The 24,735-nt window shown below is 37.5% G+C and overlaps 2 annotated features.

Moving 5' to 3' along the window:
- Positions 1,794–2,345: an enhancer, noted in NCBI's record as "NANOG hESC enhancer chr18:57734550-57735101 (GRCh37/hg19 assembly coordinates)". NCBI's record gives its function as "activates a minimal SCP1, AML or CMV promoter by ChIP-STARR-seq in naive H9 embryonic stem cells {active_cell/tissue: H9 hESC(naive)}" and the evidence as "EXISTENCE:reporter gene assay evidence [ECO:0000049][PMID:30033119]".
- Positions 2,665–3,201: an enhancer, noted in NCBI's record as "OCT4-NANOG hESC enhancer chr18:57733694-57734230 (GRCh37/hg19 assembly coordinates)". NCBI's record gives its function as "activates a minimal SCP1, AML or CMV promoter by ChIP-STARR-seq in primed H9 embryonic stem cells {active_cell/tissue: H9 hESC(primed)}" and the evidence as "EXISTENCE:reporter gene assay evidence [ECO:0000049][PMID:30033119]".

Below are 24,735 nucleotides of genomic sequence, written 5' to 3'. Positions count from 1 at the left end.
CTACCATTATTTTAACCAGTCTACTGTTTTGATTGCTTTGATTATTCCTGATCGCATCAATGCTATATAAAATGATTACTGGAAACAGCCACCAAAACAAAGTTCTGGTTATGTAAGCTAAGTGAGTGCTGGAAGAAAATTGCAAGCAGCTCTTGTTTTCTAAATCTATGTGCATGAGTTTTCCAGGACTGTAATAACAAATTACCACAAACCAGGTGGCTTAAAACAACAGAAATTTATTCCCTCATTGTTTTGGAGACTAGAAGTCAAAAATTTCTTGTTAACAGGGTCAGGCTCCCTCTACTGGCTCTAGGGAACGATCCTTCCCTCTGTCCTCACTTTTGGTGGGAGCCAGCATTCCTTCACTTGTAGCTTCATCCCTCCAATCTGCCTCCATCTGCATACGGCCTTCTCCCCTGTGTGACTCTGTCTCTTCATATGATGTTTTCCTCTCTGCATATCTTTGTGTCCAAAGTTCCCCATTTCTCTTTTCCTTGTAAGGAAAGAGTCATTGGATTTAGGGCCCACCCTAATCCATTGTGACCTCATCTTAACTTGATCACATTTTCAAAGACTTTATTTCTGTAAGATCACATTCACTAGTACAGGGGGTTAGGGCTTCAACATATTCAGACAAAAGGGGGAAGCATAATTTAACCCACAATACATGTGAACCTTAAAATAAGGGAGCATTCTAGTCATCAACAAGGCATCGGATCCTGTAGCTGAGCAGCAGCAAAAAAGACCTGGGAGTCTTGCAGCAGGTAAAAGTTCAGAAATGGCCCATTCAGAGTGGCTCAGAAACTGGGTTAAAGCTGAGTCCGTAGGAGGCAAGATCAGTGGGCTGGAATGTGGGGAAGTGGGAACAGGGCAACTAGGGCTGGGCTGACCCAACTACCCTATTTACTCACCCCATCTTCACACACAAATCCCATCCATCCTGTAAAGTACAGAGGTTAGTCCCATAAAGTCATCTCTTAAAATTCATCTAGGCCAGGTATGGTGGCTCACACCTGTAATCCCAGCACTTTGGGAGGCTGAGGCAGGCAGATCACCTGAGCTTGGGAGTTCAAGACCAGCCTGACCAACATGGAGAAACCCCGTCTCTACTGAAAATACAAAATTAGCCGAGTGTGCTGGCACATGCCTGTAATCCCAGCTATTTGGGAGGCTAAGGCAGGAGAATCACCTGAACCTGGGAGGCAGAGGTTGTGGTGAGGTAAGATCACGCCTTTGCACTCCAGCCTGGGCAACAAGAGCGAAACTCCCTCTCAAAAAAAAAAAAAAATTCATCTAACTAACACTTATCTCTTTAAATTCCTGTGGTGTGCTCCATCTATCACAACTTCATTTAAATATTGTATTACAAGCTGTCTTTTCATATATTTTAATTGTCTTATCTCTTCAATAGTCTTGCAAGATGCTTGAGATTAGATGCTGCACCTGATTTTTCTTTGTTATCTCCTAACAGCAACCATCTCAATGCTGGGCATTTAGAAACTATCTGTTGCATATAAAACATCTATTGAAGAAAATAATTATTGACTTGACTAAGAGAAGGTGACTAAGCCTCCAACAGAAGATGCCTCCGACAGATCCAGCGCATAATGAGCAGAGCAGGTGACCTGGAGTCTGATCTCCGGAGTCATCACTTCTAACCTTGGAGGAAATCCACGATGGCTCTCTCACTTGTATTCATCTCCCATCTGCAGCCACTCTATAAATTACTCTCTCCATGTAATCTTTGTTTGACATTTCTCTTCCCCAAGCAGGATTTCAGTCACACACTTTGAGGTTTTATATAGAAGCTAGACTCAGAACACACAAGAGGTTGCTGTGAGAACGAGCATTTGTGTGGTCCAAGCACAGCCTGCAATTTTGCACTCAGTCAGCACCTAGGAGGAAAAAGCCCCGTGCACTTCAGCTGTATCTTCCAAGAGTGCCAACACGGCTGCCCCATGAAGCCAACCTTCCCCTGTGAATGAATAGGCAACCTGAGATGCAATGAGTTTCCAAAGCCAGACCTGAATACAGCCCGGATTGCTAGCAGAAACCTGCCTAGACTAATTCACAGTCACCATTTGACTGCATTCTCCTGCCTCTCAGCTAACAAAGGCATTATCTCCCAGCACTTCTAAGAGCTAAATTGCTCTTTTAACAGCAATTATAAGAGTGCTAACAAAAAGCTAAAGATTTGGAGAATCAATGTGCTTCTTTTACTTCTAAATCATTGTATCAGATTTCCTCCTTGAATTATAATTTTATGCTGTTAATGAAGAAAATGCCTCCTTTCAGAGCACTGAATAAGAAAGGTACATTTTTGTACATTCTAAGCCTCCTTTTAAGAAAAATCACTTTTATCTCTCCATTTTATGGGCATAAAGAGGGAAATCATATTTTGAATAATTACAGGAAACAGTCTGCTACAAATGGTATATGTGATAAAATACCTGTTAGCTACAATTAAGTTAAAATTTTAGGGAAAATCACAAAGTAGATCAATTTATTCCCACACATCATTCTCCAACTTCATGTACAATTAATTAGAGGATAATGTGAAATATAAGCATGGAGCCATGTGCTTTTATTGCATTTCAACTAAAATCCTTGGTCCTTACTGTCAGAGGCATGTGAACAACAGCAACTGCATCTTGAATAGGAACTACATAAAATGAGGCTGAAACCTATTGAGCTGCATTCCCAGACAGTAAAGGCATTCTAAATCACGGAATGAGATAGGAGGTCAGCATAAGATACAGACCTTGCTGATAAAACAGGTTGCAGTAAAGAAACCGGCTAAATCTCCAAGATGGCCACGAAAGTACCTCTGGTCATCCTCACTATTACACTCCCATCAGGGCCATGAGAGTTTACAAATGCCATGGCAATGTCAGGAAGTCACCATTTATGGTCTAAAAAGGAGAGGCGTGAATAATCCACCCCTTGTTTAGCATATCAACAAGAAATAACCATAAAAATGGGCAACCATCAGCCCTCAGGCCTGCTGTCTATGGAGTAACCATTCTTTTATTCCTTCATTTTCCTAATAAACTTGCTTTCACTTTACTGACTCTCCCTGAATTCTTTCTTGTGCGAGATCCAAGAACCCTCTTTTGAGGTCTGGACCCGGACCCCTTTCCTGTAATGTTACTATCTCTGATTTCATGATTCTGATGTTTAAATTACTTGTAAAATAAATCCCTATTTAATAGTATCTGTGACTATACCACATAAATATTTCATCAGTTAGGGCTATTCTTGTGCAATAAACAGTTGATAGACTTAAGCCCGCCAGATACAGTATTTATCTGCAATTAAAATGTATCATGTAATTTTTTTTTTTTTTTTTTTTTTTTTTTGAGACAGGGTCCCTCTCTGTCACATAGGCTGCAGTGCAGTGGTGTGATTATTGCTCACTGCAGACTCGACCTCCTGGCTCAAGGGATTCTCCCATCCCGGCACAACCTCCTACCCCTGCCAACCCTCTAGTAGCTGGGACTAAAGGCACACTCTACCATGCCCAGCTAATTTTTGTATTTTTGTGTTTTGTTTGTCTGTTTGTTTGTTTGTTTTTGTAGAAATGGGGTTGTGCCATGTTGCTCAGGCTGATTTCAAACTCCTGGGCTCGAATCTCAGCTTCCCGAAGTGTTGGAATTACAGGTCTGAGCCACTGCACCAGGTCTGACAATGTTTCTATTTTTAAGATGTTGTCAAAAGAGGTGAACCTCACTTTGACTGTGAGGTTTTTGAAAGACTTGGAAAAGAAATTGATTTATATAAGCTTGTCCAACCCATGGCCTGCAGGCTACATGCAGCCCAGAACAGCTTTGAATGTGGCCCAACATGAATTCCTAAACTTTCTTAAAACATTATGAGATTTTTTTGCAATCTTTTCTTCTCATCAGCTATCATTAATGTTATATGTATTTTACTTACATGTGGCCCAATACAATTCTTCTTCCAATGTGGCCAGGGAAGCAAAAAGATTGGACACCCCTGGATTAATAGGTACCTTAGTTTCAGAGTAATTCTTTTCTAATACAGTTCATCTATTATTTAAAAGGAAATAGAGTGAATGTCTTTGAAAGTATAATCAGAGAAGAGCCAGCTGTAATCGTCAAAATTTTGTAATCCAAGAAAGAGTCCACCAGTATTATTAAAGCCACCCTGCAACTCATTGGCCAGTGATCTGAGAAACAACTCTATGCTAGTTTTACTTTTCTCTTTGAAATACTTTCTACAGATTTCAAAGTCAGTAAAATTACATATTCTTTTAAAATTTTTTATTTAACCCTAATGCAACTAGGTTGTTCAACAATATTTCTTCTACTGTCTGATCCACAAAAATAATAAACACAACACATATTCAAATTTGATGAGTAAGGCGTGCCTGGTTTCATGGTGTGCCAGACTAAAAGGAAAATGTAAAGAAAACAGATCTAGAAGACCAAGAACAGAGAACTTGAACTAGTTTTCAGGTTTTTTTGGTTTTTTGGCGGGGGGGGGGGTTTGGTTTTTTGTTTGTTTCTTTAAGATGGAGTCTCACTCCGTCGCCCAGGCAGGAGTGCAGTACTGCAATCTTGGCTTACTGCAATCTCTGCCTCCCAGGTTCAAGAGATTCTCCTGCCTCAGCCTCCTGAGTAGCTGGGATTACAGGTAACTGCCACCACACCCAGCTGTTGAACTAGTTTTAGTGATAATTTCTCCATTCAAATCATTATAGTACAAACTAGAATATTCATAGTGGAATAGTGAATTTAAATTCATAGTGGAATAGTGAATAAGATTCCACTAGAGTATTCATAGTGGAATAGTGAATTTAGATTTAACTTAGCAGTGTGCATGGGGGGTTGAATCAACTATCTGAGATATGGCAACAAGAGTTTCCATGTAGTGATAAGACATAGGAAAGGGATTGTAAACAATGTGATTCCAAGAGGATCTATTTTGAACCGGATTCTAGTACACAGCTGAAAATATAGAGATAATTCAGGCAAACATTGAGAAAAAGATTGTCAAAGTTAACTAGGGGAAAATATGGAAGGCTTTCAAGACAGAGATCCAGTCTTAAAGAGAGGACTAACTGGAGGACAAATGGAGGGCCTGAGCCAGCATCTCAGTCATGGATGAGCAACACGGAAAGCCTATGCTTCCTTGGTTCTGCAGATTTACCCCAGGCACACTGGCAATTGTGCCTACAGCAGATTGAGTCATTCAAGACCATTAACCATTAATGTGAAGATGGTTTTCACATCATTCAGGATTGACTTGGGAACTGTGGGTGGTAAACTGAGGGGTGATGAGTAAGCCTAAAGCAATGAGTAAATAAACTGATTCCAGAATTTAAAATGGGGCCAATTTCATTGTGAGGATTAAGAAGGCAAGTAATAATATATACCATCCAACACAACAGATGACACAGTAATTATTTTGATTGAACTTTGGAATATAGCTTATAGTTGGTTCATCATTCATCAATTTGTGGTTCTGCTATCTACTATTATCTACTATTCTATCTACTCCCAAAAGAAGAGAAAGGTCTTATGTATTTATGTGCATTTATTTAGAAAAATCTCTCATGGTTGTATACATATTTATAGTTACATGTAAAATAAAATGCATAGATCACTGTACCTGGAATGCTACCATTTATGTAAAGAAGGGATGAAAATAAGATAAATTTCTGTTTTCTTCTATATGCATTAAAAAATCTCTGGCATAAGGAGCCTGAGGCAGGAGGATAGCTTGAGCCCAGGAGTTCAAGGCTGCACAATCCAGCCTGGGTGACATAGCAAGACCTGTCTCAAAGAAGAAAAATCTCTGGCAAGATCAGCAAGGCATGCAGGAACAAAAACCCAATATATAGGGGCAGGAATGAGAGAGAGAGACTTCTCAATGTATATTCACTTTCTACTTTTGGAAATTTTATTTATGTAATTGTTTCCTCTTTAAAAAGTAAAGCATTTTAAAATATAAAGATACTTAATGTATGTATTTAAATGTTTATTTTAAAATATGCGAAATAAATAAACAGGAGCCATGTTATGAAGAAGAATAATGAAGATGAAAGCACTGAAAAAGAAAAAGGTGGGAGAGTCTTAAGATACTTATTGTTTGGTGGCAAAAAAAGTTTGATTTGAATTCCCTGGAAGTCAAGGAATCAAGGAAAACAAGATAAGTTATATAACAATCATTATTCATAAACAGAACCACATTGCCCAATTTCCCTACTGAATAGCCTGAGTATGGGTCCCACAGGGCAAAGCCTGGGGACAGGAGCATCTATTACCTAGAGCTCTGGGTGCATTAAAATTAGAGATGAGAAAAAATAAGAGTCAAATAGTGTAGTACTTTGCACTACATCAACTTGGCTGGGCTGAAACCAAACTTCCCAGAACTCTTTCCCTATAGGATCTGTATTAGTCAGTTCTCACACTGCTAATAAAGACATACCTGAGACTGGGTAATTTATAAAGGAAAGAGGTTTAATTGGCTTACAGTTCCACTGGGCTGGGGAGACCTCAGGAAACTTACAATTATGGTGAAAGAAGGAGCAAACACATCCTTTTTCACATGGCAGCAAGGAAGAGAAGAATGAGAGCCAAGTGAAGAGGGAAGCCCCTTATGAAATCATCAGATCTTGTGAGAACTTACTCACTATCACAAGAATAGCATGGGGGAAACCACCCCCAGGATTAAGTTACCTCCCACCGAGTCCCTCCCACCACACGTGGGGATTATGGGAACTACAATTCAAGATGAGACTTGGGTGGGGACACAGCCAAACCATATCAGAACCGTAAGTTAGACTTAGCTGACAAGGAATTCTGAGTGAGATTTGGATGCCAGAAGTGAAGTAGCAGCCATTACTCCATAGGGTCAATGTGGTAGATATAGCAAGAGACAAAGCAGAGGTACCAATAGATTCCAGGTCGTCTCACTCTCCTCCACTTCAGCTCTTCTTCCCAGTTGCCAGGCTGTGTTCAAGAGCGACCCAAGAACCACCACCAGACACAGAAGCAACATGATCCCATCCCAGCAAAACTGCCTGGCTTCCCAGAGTTTTTGCAAGCTCTGACTTGTCCTCCCATGCCATGCTTCAGAGCTGGTTACCAACTTTTCTTTGATCCTCCAATTCCCTCTTTGGAACCTTATTTCCCCACTTTGCCAGTAAGGTTTTATCCCAATAATACATCTCTAAGCCATAACCTTCAGAGGGTTTTTGCTTCCATAATTGACCCTGGCTAATACAATTGATATGGGCCACAGTTAGCAGTCCTAAAGCACATGTCCAAGAGGTTGTCAGTATACTGGCCTGAGGATTCAGTCAGGTAAGAATCAGAGAAAATTAAAAGGTCAGGTGAATAAAAGAACAAGGAGACAAGAGAAAAGAAAAGAGGACCAAGAAGATAAACAAGAAGATCATCTGGAGAAAGCATTTATATGGGTGTTAAGGGGTGATGAAATGGGCATAATAATATATGTATTTCATTGATTGTTGTAAGTCAATACATGTAAAGATGTTAGCACAGGGCTTGGGAACTGTGGGTGGTGAACTGAGGGGTGAAATATACACAGCTGAAATGTCATGCTGCCATCTTACTCTGTCTCTGGTTCCCAACACTGCATTTGCCAAGGATGCTTTTCATTTTCCCTTTTGCTCCACGGTCTGCAGCTATTCTCTGCCCACTCCTTAAATCAATCCCAGGATCCTTCTCTATATTCTACCTTCCACATGTAGACTGGGGAATTTTTACAAGTTCTTTAAGACTGAGCAAATCTTTTCCCATCCCACTACCCTATCTTATCAAACTTTATAGGCACTGGGGCCACAGGACAAACAATACTTCCAAAGTCAAGTTTAAATACATGGAAACTCTTTTCCTGCCCATTTCTTATATCAATACCTGATTCAACCTGAAATCATCCTGTTCTATCATAGTTTACAAAAGTACTTCAATTGGAGTCTTAAGAAATTTAGTCCAAGAATGTGAATTTCTGATCCTCTAATTTAGGGTTTGTGCTCAGAAAACAGAGGGCCATGGTATTCCTCCTTCTGGTGCTCACTGACTTATTGAGAATGATGTTAATAAAAAAAATTTATTGGACCATGACTATGTGCCAAGCCCTGTGCTAAGATCTTTACATGTATTGACTTACAACAATCAATGAAATACATATATTATTATGCCCATTTCATCAATAAAGAAACTGAGGCTTAGAGAGGCTAACTAGTTAACCCAAAGTAATACATCCATAAGTTGCACCACCTAAATTAATAGGAAAATTACGTGAGACTCCTAAGCCTAAGACATTTGATTACCAAGTACTACTGCTTCTTTCACCACCACCACCCCAAAATTACCACTGTACAAAATCCTGCGTACATTTTCAGAAGCTTCACAAACCCTCATTTACTAATTCTATAGAAAAATAGCCTAAACCATCAACTTCCTTAAATAATAGCAATACCAACTAGGTTTTAAAGAGAGCTAAACAGCTGGTCAGATAAAACTGCTATTATCCTAGAGAGTTCTATTAGGGGTCTGTGATATATCATCTCCAGAAATAGCTACCATCAATTCCTGCCTTCCCTGTTCATATGTATCACTCCACATTGAGAGACAGAGATAATTTCACCGCCCCCCGCCCCCCTCCACCTAGAAAGAGGTCTTCCCTGGAAAGAGATCAGGCCACTGTGCCCAACCGAATGCAGTGGAAGTGACTTTCTGAACCCTGGCCTTAAGAAGAGGATACCTTCCACTTACCTCCTCTTGGAATCTAGCCACCATGTCATGGCAAGACCAAGCCAAAAAGAGAAGCCACATGGAGAAGAGCAAGATTCCTGAGTCAACAGTCAGAGCCCACTAGCAATCATGTGAGTGTTCCACTTTGGAGATTCCAGCCCAGGGGAGCCCTCAGATGACTCCAGTGCCAGTCAACATCATGTAGAGAAGCTCCCAGTGGAGCGTAGTTAACATGCACACCTTGAAGATATGATTAAATAGTTGCTGTTTTAAGCTACTAAGCCATCAGTTATGTTTGTTTTGCAGAAACGGGTAACAGAAACTGAGTCTAAAGACTGGCTTTTCATCTTTCAGTGCTATTGATTAGGATGCAATCCATATACATTTCGTTACCTGTAGGACATCTAAGTTGCAAAGTTCATATGTTGCTACAAAAGTAAATAATTTGATTTTTTGTCTTACATAAATGAAAAGTCATTTCATCTGTTAATAAGACTGACTGCTGAAGAACATGTAAATTAGAACTTAAAATGCCACTTTGAATCATTTCCAGTACTTAAAACCTGTGCTTTGTGGATATAAATATTTGCTGTGGCAGGAAGCCATACCTTCAGTTCTTCTAAAAACTATTGAGTTATAAAAACAAAATCTAAAATTAAGGAGACCTAGGACACAGCACTATTTATAAAACTCTGTTCCGGAATTTCATCTGCAAGGCTCTGTTCCTTTTCACCCTGGTTGTCATGGTAGTATTGCAATAAAAGCCTCTCTAGAGCACAAAAGATTTGGAATACAAATCAGCATCATCAAGATTGGCACATAGAAGGTCCCTGTCTAAGGAAATAAAGATCAATATATTCTAAAATTGATCTAAAATGGACTTAAGAAATCAAAGATAAATAAACTCTAAGGAGTTAAATTCTAAATGTATTTTTATAATCAGTGTCTAGAAATCAAATATAAATTAATCATAAACTAGACTTTTCTCAATTAAGGGTAACAGACCAAATCAAAACTATAATAGCAATCTGTGCCCAAACTCAGCTTGTTCCTCATCTAGGATATTAGACTGGGAGTCCCAGACCAACCATTTATTGAAAATAAAGCCAGACTACAGATGAGAGAGGATATATAGAAGACTGATAGGTCTGAAACTTACAAGAGAGAACATCATTGTTTCCTATAATTTTACCTTTAATATGCTTCTATTTAGCAACTTATCAAAATTACTTTACATTCCATGACAACACAGAAGTTGGTAAGATATCTAAAACAAGTTAAATGAGAGAAAAAAAAGGAATCTTGGAAATCAAAATTTGTGATAGTTATTTAATATCATCAAATTTGGATAGTCAACCTTTAATGCTATTTTCTCACTATTCCTTTATTCAACTGACAGACATTGAGTCGTAATATGTAGTGAGGTTTCAGAAATGAAAAAGACAGATTTTCAGATTGAACCAGTTCTCAATATGGTATGACAAGATACTCATATCCAAATGCTTCAGAAATGTAGCAAACGGGAGGGAGTAGACAGCTCTCCTCAGATAAGTCTGAGAATTCTTCACAGAGGAATACTTGTTTCAGTTTAGTCTTATTCTTAAAGGACAAATACTTTACTCTTGAAAAACAAGGGTATTCTGGGAAAATAGAACAGCACACACACAAAGAAAATCACCTTGGAGCAGTACGCAAGATGATTCAATAGGGAGTAGGCTCGATATAGTTGGATAAAGAGGAGGAAAGAGAGGGACACAGAGGAGGGAGGGAGTAAAAGAAAGAAATGGAGAGAGAGAGAGCTAGAAATAGAGATGGCGAGAGAAACAGAGAGAGAGATAGGGAGATACAGAGAGTGGTAGAAAATGTAAATACAGGTTTCCAGAACACTAATGGAATCCTTGGACGAATGGCTTTTAATTGATGAATTATCTACTGCAAATCATTCTTATTCTAGTTAATATATGTTGTGTATAAAATTAAAAGATTCAGAACCTTAAAAGTTTGTTCTTAATATTTGCCAAAATAATGCCGAATAATTTTGCTAAAACCACAGTTAGGCTAGGTCGACTGAAAAAGTACAAATTTGGGAAGGTAATGGAGAAATATAAACCAGAATTTATAATTAAATAAGTAAAGCAAATTAATGAAATTTGTAATGTGTTTTTAACATAATATTATAATAATGTTGTATTTGTAAATACAATATTATAAATATAAATATGAATACCACAATTTTAAATCTAGTACTCTACCATTCCATTTCCTTTTGCAAGTCCTATAAAGTAAGGAATTACATTAGAATAATTTTTTTCTTCCCTTACAGGTACTCCAAGATAAACTGGAGTTTTATAATATTAGTTATTAAATAGTTTGAAAACCATATCACACATGAAGACAATAACTTTTGCCCAGATAAACAGAACAAAAGGAGTAGGGGAGATAGATCATGTTTGATTTTTGTTTTTGTTTTTTGAGTCTCTCTCTGTCACCCAGGCTGGAGTGCAGCGGCGCAATCACAGCTCACTGCAGCCTCAAACTCCTGAGCTCAAGCAATCCTCCTGCCTCAGCCTCCCAAGTAGCTGGGACTACAGGTGTGTACCACCTCGCCCAGCTAATTTTTTGTAGAGATGGAATCTCCCTGTGTTGCTAGGCTGGTCTCAAACTCCCGAACTCAAGCAGTCCTCTTGCCTCAGCCACCCAAAGTGCTAGGATTACAGGCTTTGTTATTTAATGTGCAAGAAGAAATCAGAAACCTGAGATCTCTCCCAGTGTGTTGTCAGCGTCCATGGATTCTCTCATCACCCAATAGGGATTTCATACAATAAAAGCATGCAATTAATACCATTCTTCTTTTCTTTTTATGCTTTCCAAGTATAAGATAATTCCAAATAGCATAAATTTTGAAGTTATTTTGAAATAGAAACATGATAAAGTACATTCAAGCAAAGGGCCTAAAGACAGGAGCAGAAAGAAGGCATCTCACCATCTATCAATTGTGATAATCTAGGAGGAGCTACGTGTAAATTAAGATACCATGAATGGAAGTGCAGTGGATGGACAAACACAAGAGGTGTTAAGAAGACAGAACTGGGTGGCTTAGTGGTTGGTTGGAATCAGAAATTAAGGAAGAAAGGAAGAGTCAAAAGTCATTTCCAGGATTCAATTTGAATGACAGCCAAATAGATTCTATTTAAATCAGAAGTCAGACTGTATTAGTCTGTTCTCATGCTGCTAATAAAGACATACCCAAGACTTGGTAATTTATAAAGGAAAGAAGTTTAATTGACTCAAAGTTCCACATAGCTGGGGAGGCTTCACACTCATGGAGGAAGGTCACATCTTACATGGCGGCAAGCAATAGAGCTTGTGCAGGGGAACTCCCATTTATCAAACCATCAGATCTTGTGAGATTGATTCACTACCATGAGAACAGTATGGGGGAAACCACCCCCATGATTCAATTATCTCCATCTGCCCCCACCTTTAATATGTGGGTATCGTTACAATTCAAGGTGAAATATGGGGGTGGGGCACACAGTGAAATCATATCATTGACCATGTCACTTTCTCTCCCCAGATCCTTCCAGTGGGGTTCCCTTGCTTTCTCAGAGTCCTGAGCTCATCCCCTAATACTCTCCCTTTTGCTCTATGCCAGCCACACTGGCATTCTTGCTATTCCTCAAACACACCAAGCATGCCTTAGGTTTTGCACTGGTCATCTTCAATGCCTAGAATATTTCTCCATCAAATATCTGCTGCACTCCCTTGCTTTCTTCAAGTCTTTGAAGACTTGAAGAAATATAATACATACAACCTACAAAATCTGTGTTAATTGATAGTTTATATTATTGGTAAGGCTTCCTGTCAACTTAGGCTATTAGTAGTTAGATTTCTGGGGAATCAAAACTTATATGTGGATTTTCAGATGTTTGGTACTCCTAATCCCCAAGTTGTTCAAGAGTCAATTGTACATGTGAATCACACCAAAGCTGTAAAGTTTTCTTTAAAACTTTGTCTTCTCTACATTAAATCCTAATGATTTTGTTTCTTATAGTATATGTTCGCTTCTCTAAATAGAGAACTCACTAGCAGAATTTTGTACTAATTTCATTTATATTTTTATTCCACCAATAAAAATGCAAATTAATGTTCAAGATGTCCCTGGCAATTGAGATAATAATTTATGTATGCTTTAAATTAAACAGTGCTGAATAAAACAGCAGAGAATTAAAAGATCAAAAGAAATAAAAATGGTGATAATTTTTAATGCAAAAATTGAATATCCAAAGCCAAGTTGGAAAAAACATTTAAATATTACATTTTATGTCTATTGCACTTTTATGGAGCAGTTATTATTAAAAATACATTCTCCATACAATAGACAAAGCAAGTAATATCAAATATCTGCTTGTATGTTTGTTGCTTGTATCTCTCACTTCCAAAAAAAGTTGAAGAAGCTGACAATAAAAGACAAATATAAGAGAGGAGCATTAAAATTATTTATTTTTAAAAAGAGCCAGGCTGGGCCTGATGACTCAAGCCTGTAATCCCAGCACTTTGGGAAGCCAACACCGGAGGATCACTTGCAGTCAGGAGTTTGAGACCAGCCTGAGCAACATGTTGAAACCTCATCTCTACCAAAAAATAAAGAGTAAGCAGTCATGGTAGTGTGCACCTGTAGTTCCAGCTACTTGGGAGGCTGAGGCAGGAGAATCCCTTAATCCCAGGAGTCTGAGGCTGCAGTGAGCTATGATTGCACCACTGCTCTCCAGCCCAGGTGACAGAATGAAACCCTGTCTCTAAACAAATAGAAATAGAAATAAATAATAAATTTAAAAAGAGCCAGTGATGAACAGGTGAATATAGTACTGCTGAAAAAAATGTTATTAAGGATAGTTGCCAAAACTGAGCAAAACATCTAGCTCTGGGCTTCCACATAGTCAAGACACAAAGGACTCCTATAAATTAAGTTGCACTCTTTGTTTAAGGTACTAATTGTGTGCAGCAAGACTGTGCTACTATAATGGAAAGAAAACATTTTCCTTTCTCACAGTAGTTCCTTATCAGATAATTACATTGTTGTATTCAAATTTTCAAAAGCAAGGTTGCTGCTATTTCCTCAAAACTTTCTCTTTTTTTTTGAGAGTCTTAGTCTGTCACCCAGGCTGGAGTGCAGTGGTGCAGTCTCAGCTCACTGCAACCTCTGCCTTCCAGGTTCAAGCAATTCTCCTGCCTTAGCCACCCAAGTAGCTGGGATTATAGGTATGTACCACCATGCCCAGCTGATTTTTATATTTTTAGGAGAGATGGGGTTTCACCATGTTGGCCAGGCTGGTCTTGAACTCTTGGCCTTAAGTGATCTGCCCACCTCGGTTTCCCAAAGTGCTGCGATTACAGGTGTGAGCTGCTGCACCCGGCCCCACCATCCTTTTGAGCATTTCCATGAACTCAGGACTTGCCCCTGCTATGGTGTGAATATTTATGTCTATGAGCCCAGAAGTGGGCCCTCATCAGACAACAAATCAGTTGGTGCCTTGATCTTGGACTTCCCATCCTCCAGTCTCCAGAACTCTTAGAAATAAATTTCTATTGTTTATGACCCACCCAGTTTGTGGTATTTTGTTACAGCAGCCTAAATGAGTAAGGCAGCGCACTTCAGTTAGAAATTTAATAAAGTCACGTGCATAAAGCAGTGGTTTCCAAAACTGATGATCAGAATCATATGTGAAGCTTCAACAATTCAAATTTTGATTTTGTTATCTGCCACCTGGTGGGTATGCAGCTCTGTCACTTTGGTAATAAGGTCTATTACCCTTTCAGCAGGAGCATCTAAAATCTGAGAAAAGCTTAATATTTTACTATTATTATTTTTTTTCTTTTTTTGAGACAGGGTCTGGCTCTGTCGCCCAGGCTGAAATGCAGTGGTACAATTTCAGCTCACTGCAACCTCTGCCTCCCAGGCTCAAGCAATCCTCCCACCTCAGCCTCCCGAGTAGATGGGACTATAGGCACGCACCAGCACACTCAGGTCATGTTTTCTTTTTAATTTTTTGTGGAAATGAGGACTCACTATGCTGTCCAGGCTGGCCTCAAACTCTTGGGCTCAAGTGATCCTTTTTCCTTGGCCTCCCAAAGTGCTGGGATTACAGGTGTGAGCCACCCTTCCTGGCCTACTATTTTTCTAATCATTCAAAAATACACAAAAGAAAGAAATGTATAAGAAAAAAGCAAATGTATAAGAAAAGAGAGAAATGTATAAGAAAAAAATTAAAATCCCCTGTATATAACAAAAAAATTAAAATCTATGTGGTTAATCTACCACATAGAATTAACCATTATTAACATCGGGTATCTTTTCTTCCATAATTTATTCTATATATGCATATACAGAAAAGGTAGAATTTAATATGTATATTTCTGAAGTTTTGGTAAGAAAGTCTTAAAAGGATGGAGAGGAGAATCTGTATGTTTTTCAAAAGATCAAGATCAGTATCCCTATTTTTTTGATGTAAGTATATGAGGAATCTTTTGTCCATTTGTCCCCATTCACATGTCTAGTGTCCTAGCCCACCTTCCAGTCACCCAAATGCTTAAAGTCAGACCGAGCAGCAGAACAGGGGGCAGATGTGGCTCTTGGAGACAGCAGGGCACATTGTGCGTGGTCTCAGCTGCTGACCATTTTCATCATTCTCCGTGGAAACACCAAGGGATGGGTGGTGACCAACATTCCTGCACTTTTATAAACATTCACTGAGTAGAGAGTCACTGAGTCAAATAGTTCCAAAAGCATAAGCAGGTGACTTTTAAAAACACATTTACATATGATTAAAAGCTGGGTCATCAAGACACTTTGCAAAGGCTGAGAGCTTAAGTGGAAACTTCATTAGTTTCATGTGCCGGAGGGAAACGTTGAAGCTAGGCTGCACCTAGGATGACGTGGCTTTACAGTGTGCTAGGTTAAGTCAACCTTTACCTAGAGAGTTATGAGGACAAACGGTCAGCGGTATCAGCTGAGATGGAGCGGACACTCATCCTACAGTGACTCAGCATGACTCATCAGGGCTCTGAGCTTAGGCATAGATTCTGTAAATGACAGGGAGGCATTTTATTCACTTGAGCTATTACAGTGTTGGCTTTCCCAAACAATGAAAATGACTCAAATTGCTGAGGGGAAAAAAATTGCAGAACTTCCTTTTTTTATCCCTTTGAAGATTGTTACTTTCCAGGCTAACCTGATCTATAATATCAAGAAAAAATAGAGAGAAAATTGGGGGAAACACAGACACACAAGAAAATTTGGGGAGGTAATGCATATAATTAGTATCTTGGTTGTGGTTCTGGTTTCACGTGTGTATGCTTATATCCAAACTCATCAGGAAGTATGAATTAAATATGTGCAATCTTTTATCTGTCGATTATACCTCAATAAAGCTAAAAAAGAAAATTTAACAGATATTGTAAGAGTTATAAAGTTTAAACCAGTGAAAGTCATAAAGGAAAATGTGACATCAAATGATGAGGATGATAAGCAGTTCCAGGTATCAGGGAACAGCAGCAGGTAAATGCAATGATAGGCTTCATGGGAAAACACTGCTGGAGTGGAGGATGTAAGACAAGCGTGTCATAATAATACAAGAACATCATATATATTCAAACTGGAGCTTCCTATTCATGCAGTAGATTGGAATCATTATAGAATTTTAACTCCAGTGCCTAACAGTGGGTACAAGTCTCACCTTCCTCAACTCAATGAGGCTGATTCATTTGCTTTCTGCCTCTCTACTTAGCCATAAATCAACATACAGTGTATTAAATTCCTGCAATGAACCCAGCTCTGTTCACCCACTCACTACTTATTTATTTATGTATATGATTTGCACAAAGACATGGAAAGGAACTATAGTCTTAACATTTCTTCAATATGTGTATTAATTAGGTCTGGTAGTTAGGGAAATGGGTTAAAGGCATTCTGAAACCATTTTTTAAAACTCAAGGAGCAACAGGTGAAAAAAATTAATAAGTGAGGTAAGTTTGAAAGAAGAGAATGGCCTTCTGGACTGAGAAATTACAATGAATAAATTAACTTAGTCTAGAACAAACTTTGGTGTGAACTGGGAACAACCAGGGTACACATAATTACTGAAGAAAAAAGGTCTGCAGGGAGATATGGAAAACTAGTGGAAAATAAAAAACAGACAGTATAGGCTTTTAAAGTATGAAGATTAAAATGTACCTTAAAGGCAATATGGAACCTTCGTATATTGTCAAGCAATAGTGAAGTTTTGCCAGCACTGGTTAACCCAAGAAGAGCATACAGCACAGATATGGAGAATCACCAGGGACCTTCCATGGTAATACAGCTGTGAACGAATGTTAGCCTAATTTGCAGTACCAGCAGTGAGAAGATAGAGAAGAGAGAAAAGCTGATTTCCATGTGTCTAACCTGGGAGATGAGCTAAGTGTTAGTTCCTAATAACTCTGAGTGGAAAAAAAAAAAAAAGTTCCCCATCACATATGACATCAAATCTAACTTTTTGATCTGGCAGTCAAAGCCCAACAAAAGTTGATTCTTTTCTCCCCATAATGCATTATTTCAGTCATTTCCCTCCTACTATATTTATTTAGTTGCTACTATTCACCCAGCCAGTGCTAGGTACCAATTTATGGCATTACTCCAGACTTCACTCCTGCTTCAAATGTGCTGCTCTGTAGCAGTTAGTGCCCCAATTTATATACCAAAATACAAGGTGCATTATTGCCTCTGGCATATACTCTAGCACATGTTCACCTTCTTCCGCCTATTCATAACAAATTTATCAATATGTTCACATCCCATCAGTACTAAGAAAGATACTTTGAATACTTCATCTCTCCTTTCTTATCCATAGTATATCTCCTTTCTCAGCCCACACGAATAAATTTATATGGCCATAATTCTGCAGTTATTTAGCATTAATAGTCTTAGTCTTCCCTTCAATTGTATTGAAATGTTATCAAAAATAGAACTGTACATTATCTGGACTGTTATCAAAAGCAGAACTGTATATTCTATCTCTTGTGAGTCATCTGGTGCTGAACAAATACTGCATATACTACTTGCTATTTATAGTTAGGGAAATTCATAGCCAAAAATAAAATCCAAATATTTACTTTGCTTCATTAATTCTCTTATATCATGAAAAATGAGAGTTTTGCAGTATAATAGGAAAATTAAAACATTTGCAAAATATCAACACCAAAAACAAATTTATTTTGAAATTGTTTCTAGTCTGGAAAGGCATACATATATAGCACAGATATGGAGAATCACCAGGAACCTTCAGTGGTAGTACAACTGTGAATGGATGTTAACCTCATTTGCAGTACCAGCAGTGAGAAGAAGACTTTTGGGATTATCTTTAAATCTGTAATCATAATTTAATTGTTACTGTAATTTCTGTCACTATTCAGACTACTGTTTTTATTCTCTATATCTGTATACTCTTTTCCTCTGAGAATATTTTCAAGAGTATTTTTGTTCCAAGAAAACAATATTTTCAAGAAATACTGGTTCCAAGAAAACAATATTTTCAAGAAATACTGGTTCCAAGAAAACAATGTAGCCTACCTTAACTAGAGGAAAGCTGTCAGGCAAGAAAAACATAAGATGTATAAAGAAATAAACAAACAAGATCAAAGAAACATTTTTCAGTCCAGTGAACATACATTAAATTTCAAAAAAGTATTTAAATATGTTGAAATATGAATGAAATATTCAAGTATTAGGATTAATCAGAAAAAGTATTTGCTTATTCATTTTATCTAGCAAAATCTATTGGATATCTATTAATATCAAAACTCCTGTATCAGAGGAGAGTCCCCATTTTCTCAGCCACAAAAAGAGTAATAACAGTACCTGTCTTGTAAAGTTGCAAGAATTACATGACTTTATTTGCATAAAATGCTAAAATGAAAAGCTAACATGTGTGGTATTGATTTGGGTATAGGACAACAGAAGACAAAGAAACTTCATAGGAGGCTGGACAATTTGTGAGAAAACTATTATTGTTCCACCCATAACGCCTGTTATGGGTGGCTAGAAATATAACAACTTGTGTTACATAGTAACCAAAAGATGGCTACCACTGTCACCTGAGATAAAGAAAGAAAATAAATATGTGAACCTGTGCCTCATGGTTTCCAGGCAAAATGTTGAAAGTGTCAATCAGTTGCTTTTAGGTGCATTTGGAAAGGCTCTATGAGAAAGGCACAACCTCAGAAAACAACTGGACACCTTGGCAAGCAGAATGAGAGGGAACATAGAAAACCAAAAGCTGGCTGGGTAAAATAAGGCTGAGACCTACTGGGCTGCATTCCCAGATGGTTAAGGCATCCTAAGTCATAGGATGAGATAGGAGGTTGGCACAAGATACAAGTCACAAAGACCTTGCTGATAAAACAGTTTGCAGTAAAGAAGTCGGCCAAAACCCACCAAAACCAAGATGGCAACGTATGACCTCTGGTCATCCTCACTGCTACACTCACATTAGTACCATGACAGTTTACAAATGCCATGGCAACGTCAGGAAGTTACCCTCTATGGTCTAAAAAGGGGAAGCATAAGTAATCCACCCTTTGTTTCACATATAATCAAGAAATAACCAAAAAAATAACCATGCTCTGTTTACAGAGTGGCCATTCTTTTATTCCTTTACTTTCCTAATAAACTTGCTTTCATTGAAAAAAAAAAGAAAAGAAAACCAAAAGCTTATTAACTAAAACACTGAACTCTTTCCCTTCTCCAGCTTCTCCAGCCACTAGATTTTCAAATTAGGTTATAGCCCCGTATCAAAGACCAAGGCAAGAGTGTAGCCATCTCTAGATGATTTCAGTAGGCTGTCTTACTGACAAAAACAGCATCTATAATATTTAGGGGCATGGTCCCACAGATGCAATATGCTTAAAATACTTGTAATTAAGTATAGAGAAAATGATGTATTAAAAATAATTGTGAGTATATTTTTGGGCAAATAGAGTTAACTGGAAACAGATACACAGAAAACCCACAAAGTTTTTGAGAGAGACGTATTAGCAAAAGTTGTACTAGCCTATTGTATGTGTAAAAAGGCTTCTGGGCTTCCAATTTCTCAGACAGGAAGAAAGCTGAGGATGCTATTCTATCATCAAAAAACACATATTCTCCACTGTCCCTGTTGGATTTAGGTCCAAATTAAATGATCAAATTTTTTAAACTTTGAAAAGAAAATATAGGATTTCCTATTGCATTAGGGATGGGAAAGAATTTTAAAAATACAGAAAGCATAAACCATAAAGAAAAGGATAGATGCATTTAAATTAACATTAAAACTTCCATGGATCAAAAATATGATTAAAAGAGTGTGAAAAACTGTATACTGGGAGAAGGTATTTGAAATATATAAAAATAACAAAAAGTACAGTACATATATATGAACTACCACAAATCAGCATAATAAAAAGCAAACACAATAGAGAAAGGAGCAATAGATATGAACAGGCAGTTTACAGAAAAGGAAATCAAATGACCAACAGCATGAGAAAAGGTAGTCAAATTCACTAGATGTCAGCAGAGAAATGCAAACTAACACAAAAAAGGATACTATTTCATACCCATCAATTTGACAAAAATTAAAATATTGGCAAATACTTGTCAAAGTTTGAGAAATGGGAACTTTTAGCCATTGCTGGTAGAAAAAATGCAAATTGGTATAAACACTTGGAAAGCCACTGGCAATAGTTAGCAGTGTTTAAGGTGTGCATGCCATGAAATGTAACATTTCTACTTCTAAGCAACAAGCCCTAGAATAATTCTTGCTCAGGATGCCAAGGAAATATGTATACAAGTTTCATACAGCATTATTTATAATTGCAAATAATTGGAAACAACCCAAATATTCATCAACAGGTAATAGATAGACAAATTCATATTCCTACAATGAAATCCTAAACAACAGTAAAAAAATGAACTGAAGCTTTATGTCATGTATCAACATTAATGAACCCCACAAATATAATGTTGAATATATTTGTATATATGATACACCACCACAGACAGAGCTTTTTAATGTGCAAGAAATTCTTTGTAAAGTTTACAGATATAAGTATATGCAGTAAAATTGTAAAGGTATCAATGAGGGTAAAAAATGATAAATTCTGGGAAACAGTATGCCTGAAGAAAAGAGACTGAAATGTAATTGGGGAACAGCACAAAGAGAAATTTGGCTACATCCCTAATGTTTCTCCTTAAACTTGGAGTTGTGGACATCGGTTGTCACTATATTAGTATTATATTTTAAACGTTAGTATTATATTTTAAACCTTACTTTATGGAAAATTTTAAATATATACAAAAGTAGAAAAATACTATAATACAGCACCATGTCCTACACATTACCCAGCTTCAACTTTTGTAATTTCATAGACTACCTTGTTCAAGACATAGTCACATCAAAAACCTCACACAAGCATTATTGCTAAAGAAACTGAAGGAATTATATTATTTCATCCATTAATACCTCAGCGTGAATAACACTCACTGGGGCCTTTCGGAGGGTGGAGAGTTGGGAGGAGGGAGAGGATCTGAAAAAATAACTAATGGGTACTAGGCTTAAGACCTGGGTGATGAAATAATCTCTACAACAAACCCCCAAAACACAAGCTTGCCTATGTAACAAACCTACACTTGTACCCCTGAACTTAAAAGTTAAAAATTTTTTTAATTTAAAAAATAAAATAAAAATAAAAATAAAAAAATCAGTATGTATATCCAAAAGATAAGAACATTTTAATATAATCACAATACCATATTATGTCTTTAAAATTAGCAATAATACCTAATATTATCAAATGTATGAATTGTCCCAATTTTTTATTTTTTTAAAAAATCTGCTCAAATCCAAATTTATAGCATGTGGTTGATACATGTCTTAAGTCTCTCTCATCCCATAGGTTTCCCTCCAGTTTTTTTCTTTTGCAGTTTATGTACCAAAAAAAACTGACCATTTTTTCCTGTAGTGCTTCTCTCAGTCTGAACTTTGCTGATCACATTCAATGTTAATTGTTCCTCTGCCTCTTGAATTTCCTGTAATTTAGTCATGAGGCCTAGAGTCATGATTAGATTCAGGTTTGATTCATGGTAAGAATATTTTTTAAGTGACACAGTATGTTGCTATCAGGACATACATAATTTCTGTTTTTCTCCATTTTTGTGATGATAGCAGCAACTGATGATCATTATCTAATCCTGTCAGTCATTAGTAATCACAAAATTGTAATTTTCTAATGCTGTCATGTCTTCTTCATTTATTAGCTGCAATTCTCCTTTAAATAAAAACTTCCATCATCAACTGTTTAAATTCAGTTCATATTGGAAAGGAAGAGTAAATGCCTAATTCTTACCTTTTATATATCACTTTTCAAAATAATGAGTTGGTTCCCCAGCATTTTCCAAAGGCAATCAATGAGATTTTTGTTGTTGAAATATTTTGGCTGGGAGCAGTGGCTCACGCCTGTAATCCCAGCACTTTGGGAGGCCAAGATGGGTGGATTGCTTGAGCCTAGGAGTTTGAGACCAGCCTTGGCAACATGGTGAAGCACCATCTCTACCAAAAATACAAAAATTAGCCAGTCTCATAACCCAGTCTCAAAATAAACAAAGATTAAAATGTAATAAAAAATATTTCATAAGTATTTTAATGAGTGAAAAGAAGCCAATAGATTAGTTCTAGTTAATGAAATAACCCTCTTAAGAATTTTGAACAGGTGAAAAGGCAACAATAAGATAGGAATGTAGGAACCAGCAGTATTAAGGGAAGTGCTAGCCTTTAAATAGGAAAAATAGAAGAAATTGATCTTATAATATTTGTTTTACTTAGAAATGAATCCAAAAAGAAATATTTAACAGTTGTATTTATTGAATGAACTTTTTGTAAAATAGGGGGATAAAAAGGCAAACCATCTTCTTCACTTACTCACAGAATAAATGTGGCTTAAGTAAATGTAAAGAAAATGCCAGAAAAGGGGGTTCCACGAAACAAAGATTGTTCTGGGTGAATGGTGTGCATGCTGAAAGACCCTGCTAATCTGCGAGGGGTAGGTCACAAAATTTTCTAGCAGTGTCACAATGAAGGAGACACCATCTGCGGCATGATTCACACTATCTATAAATGTTAAAGCAAAAAATCAATGGCTCAGAAGACAAACAACTATTCTTCCTAGAGCAATCAGAGAAATTTCTCCAAAGACCATCATAAGTAACATACACAAAAGGCAACGTGCTAAAAATATTTAAAAGAGAATTTTACTGCCTCCCTCGCACTCTCACAATTCAGGCACCCAATATCTATTTTGGACATGAACCTTTCATGTAAAGGTCTGTACCTTGCCAAGAAGTAATGTGGCATACCACTTTTTATTGCCATATTTCCAAGTTTTGGATTTTTTTAACAAACTTTATTCTTTAGAACGGAAACATTGCAAAGATAGTACAGAGAGTTCCAACATATTCCACACCCAGTTACCCCTGTTATTAACATTTTATATTAGTATGGCATATTTATTAACAATTAATGAACCAATAGTGATACATTATGATTACCTGAGGTCCATTATTCATTTAGACTTCCTCGGGTTTTCCCTTACATCTTTTTTCTCTTCCAGGATGCCGTTACATTCAGTCATGATGTCTGTTTAGGCTCCTCTTGGCTGTGCAGTTCCTCAGACCTGCCTTGTTTCTGATGACTTTGACCATGTTGAAGAGTATTAGACAAGTACTTTGTAGAACATCCCTCAATTGGGATTTGTCTGATTTTTTTTTCATGATTAGATTATGGTTAAGTGTTTTTGGAAGGAAAACCACAGGGATGAACTGCCATTTTCATCACAACATATCAACTTATCATGGTACATGCTATCATCATTACTTATATCTGATGATGTTGACCTTAATCACCTGGTTGAAGTAGTACTGGTCAAGTTTCTGCACAATAAATTACTCCATGTTTCTCCTCTTTCCATAGTCTACTTTTTTAAAGGAAGTCAGTATACACAGGCCACGCTTAAAGAGTGAGGAGTAATTCCTTCACCTCCTTGAAGCAGAGTACCTAGATTATTTGGAATGACACACCATTTTTACAAGAGATACTGATCAGAATTCGGTGTCTTCCAGAGCAGCTCCAATGTGTTTGCATTTCACCCTGTCTCTATCCGCCTTACGATTGGTATCCTTGCTTTTTCCTCCCAGCCTCCTACACAACATGGCATCCTCTGTGTAGTAGTTCCCAAAGTGTGGTTCCCAGACAGGCGGCATCAGCATCGCTTGGGAATTTGTTAGAAATGCAAATTTTTTGGCCCTACTCCACTCCAGAATTAGAAACTAGGAGTGGAGGCAAACAACCTGTTTTAATAAACCTTCCAAGTCATTCAGGTTTGTTATGGTGTTAGAAGTAAAGACAACCTCTTTTTCTTTCATGCCTATGTTGTCTGCTCTTATGCCAAAATTCCCACTCCTTCATCCTGTGGCTCTAGCAAGTCTTCAGGTTTCCTTCCACATTGATATTGCATAAACTGACCACCTGGTGTTAAGATCTTAATCTCAGAACTCTTTTCTTATTAAACGACCCACAGACAACTCTGGAAACCTGGAAGATTTATGTATTAGACATCCTCCCGTTTTCATTATTAACACATTCCAACCAGTATACTCCATCAAGGGGTCATTCTTGTTTCTGTTCTTCCTAATTTTGGACTGAATTCCTAAAAGGGACTTATTTTGATTGACATCCTGCTGTCTCCATTCTGCCCTTCTTAAGTAATACCAGTAGATTTCTCCTTAGACACTTACTGCCTGCTTGGGTGTGATGTGAGTTGCAAGGCCCTTATTTGAACTTGATCTCCAATAGTTAATTCTCTCCCTGGGAACCACTGTCAGTGTCTTTGATTGTTCCAGGTTTCCACCCCTACCTGCTGCTGC

This window comes from Homo sapiens, chromosome 18, assembly GCF_000001405.40.
Source record: "Homo sapiens chromosome 18, GRCh38.p14 Primary Assembly".
Lineage (NCBI taxonomy): Eukaryota > Metazoa > Chordata > Mammalia > Primates > Hominidae > Homo > Homo sapiens.
The sequence above is the reverse complement of the archived record's forward strand: the minus strand, read 5'-3'. Positions and strand labels throughout refer to the sequence as shown.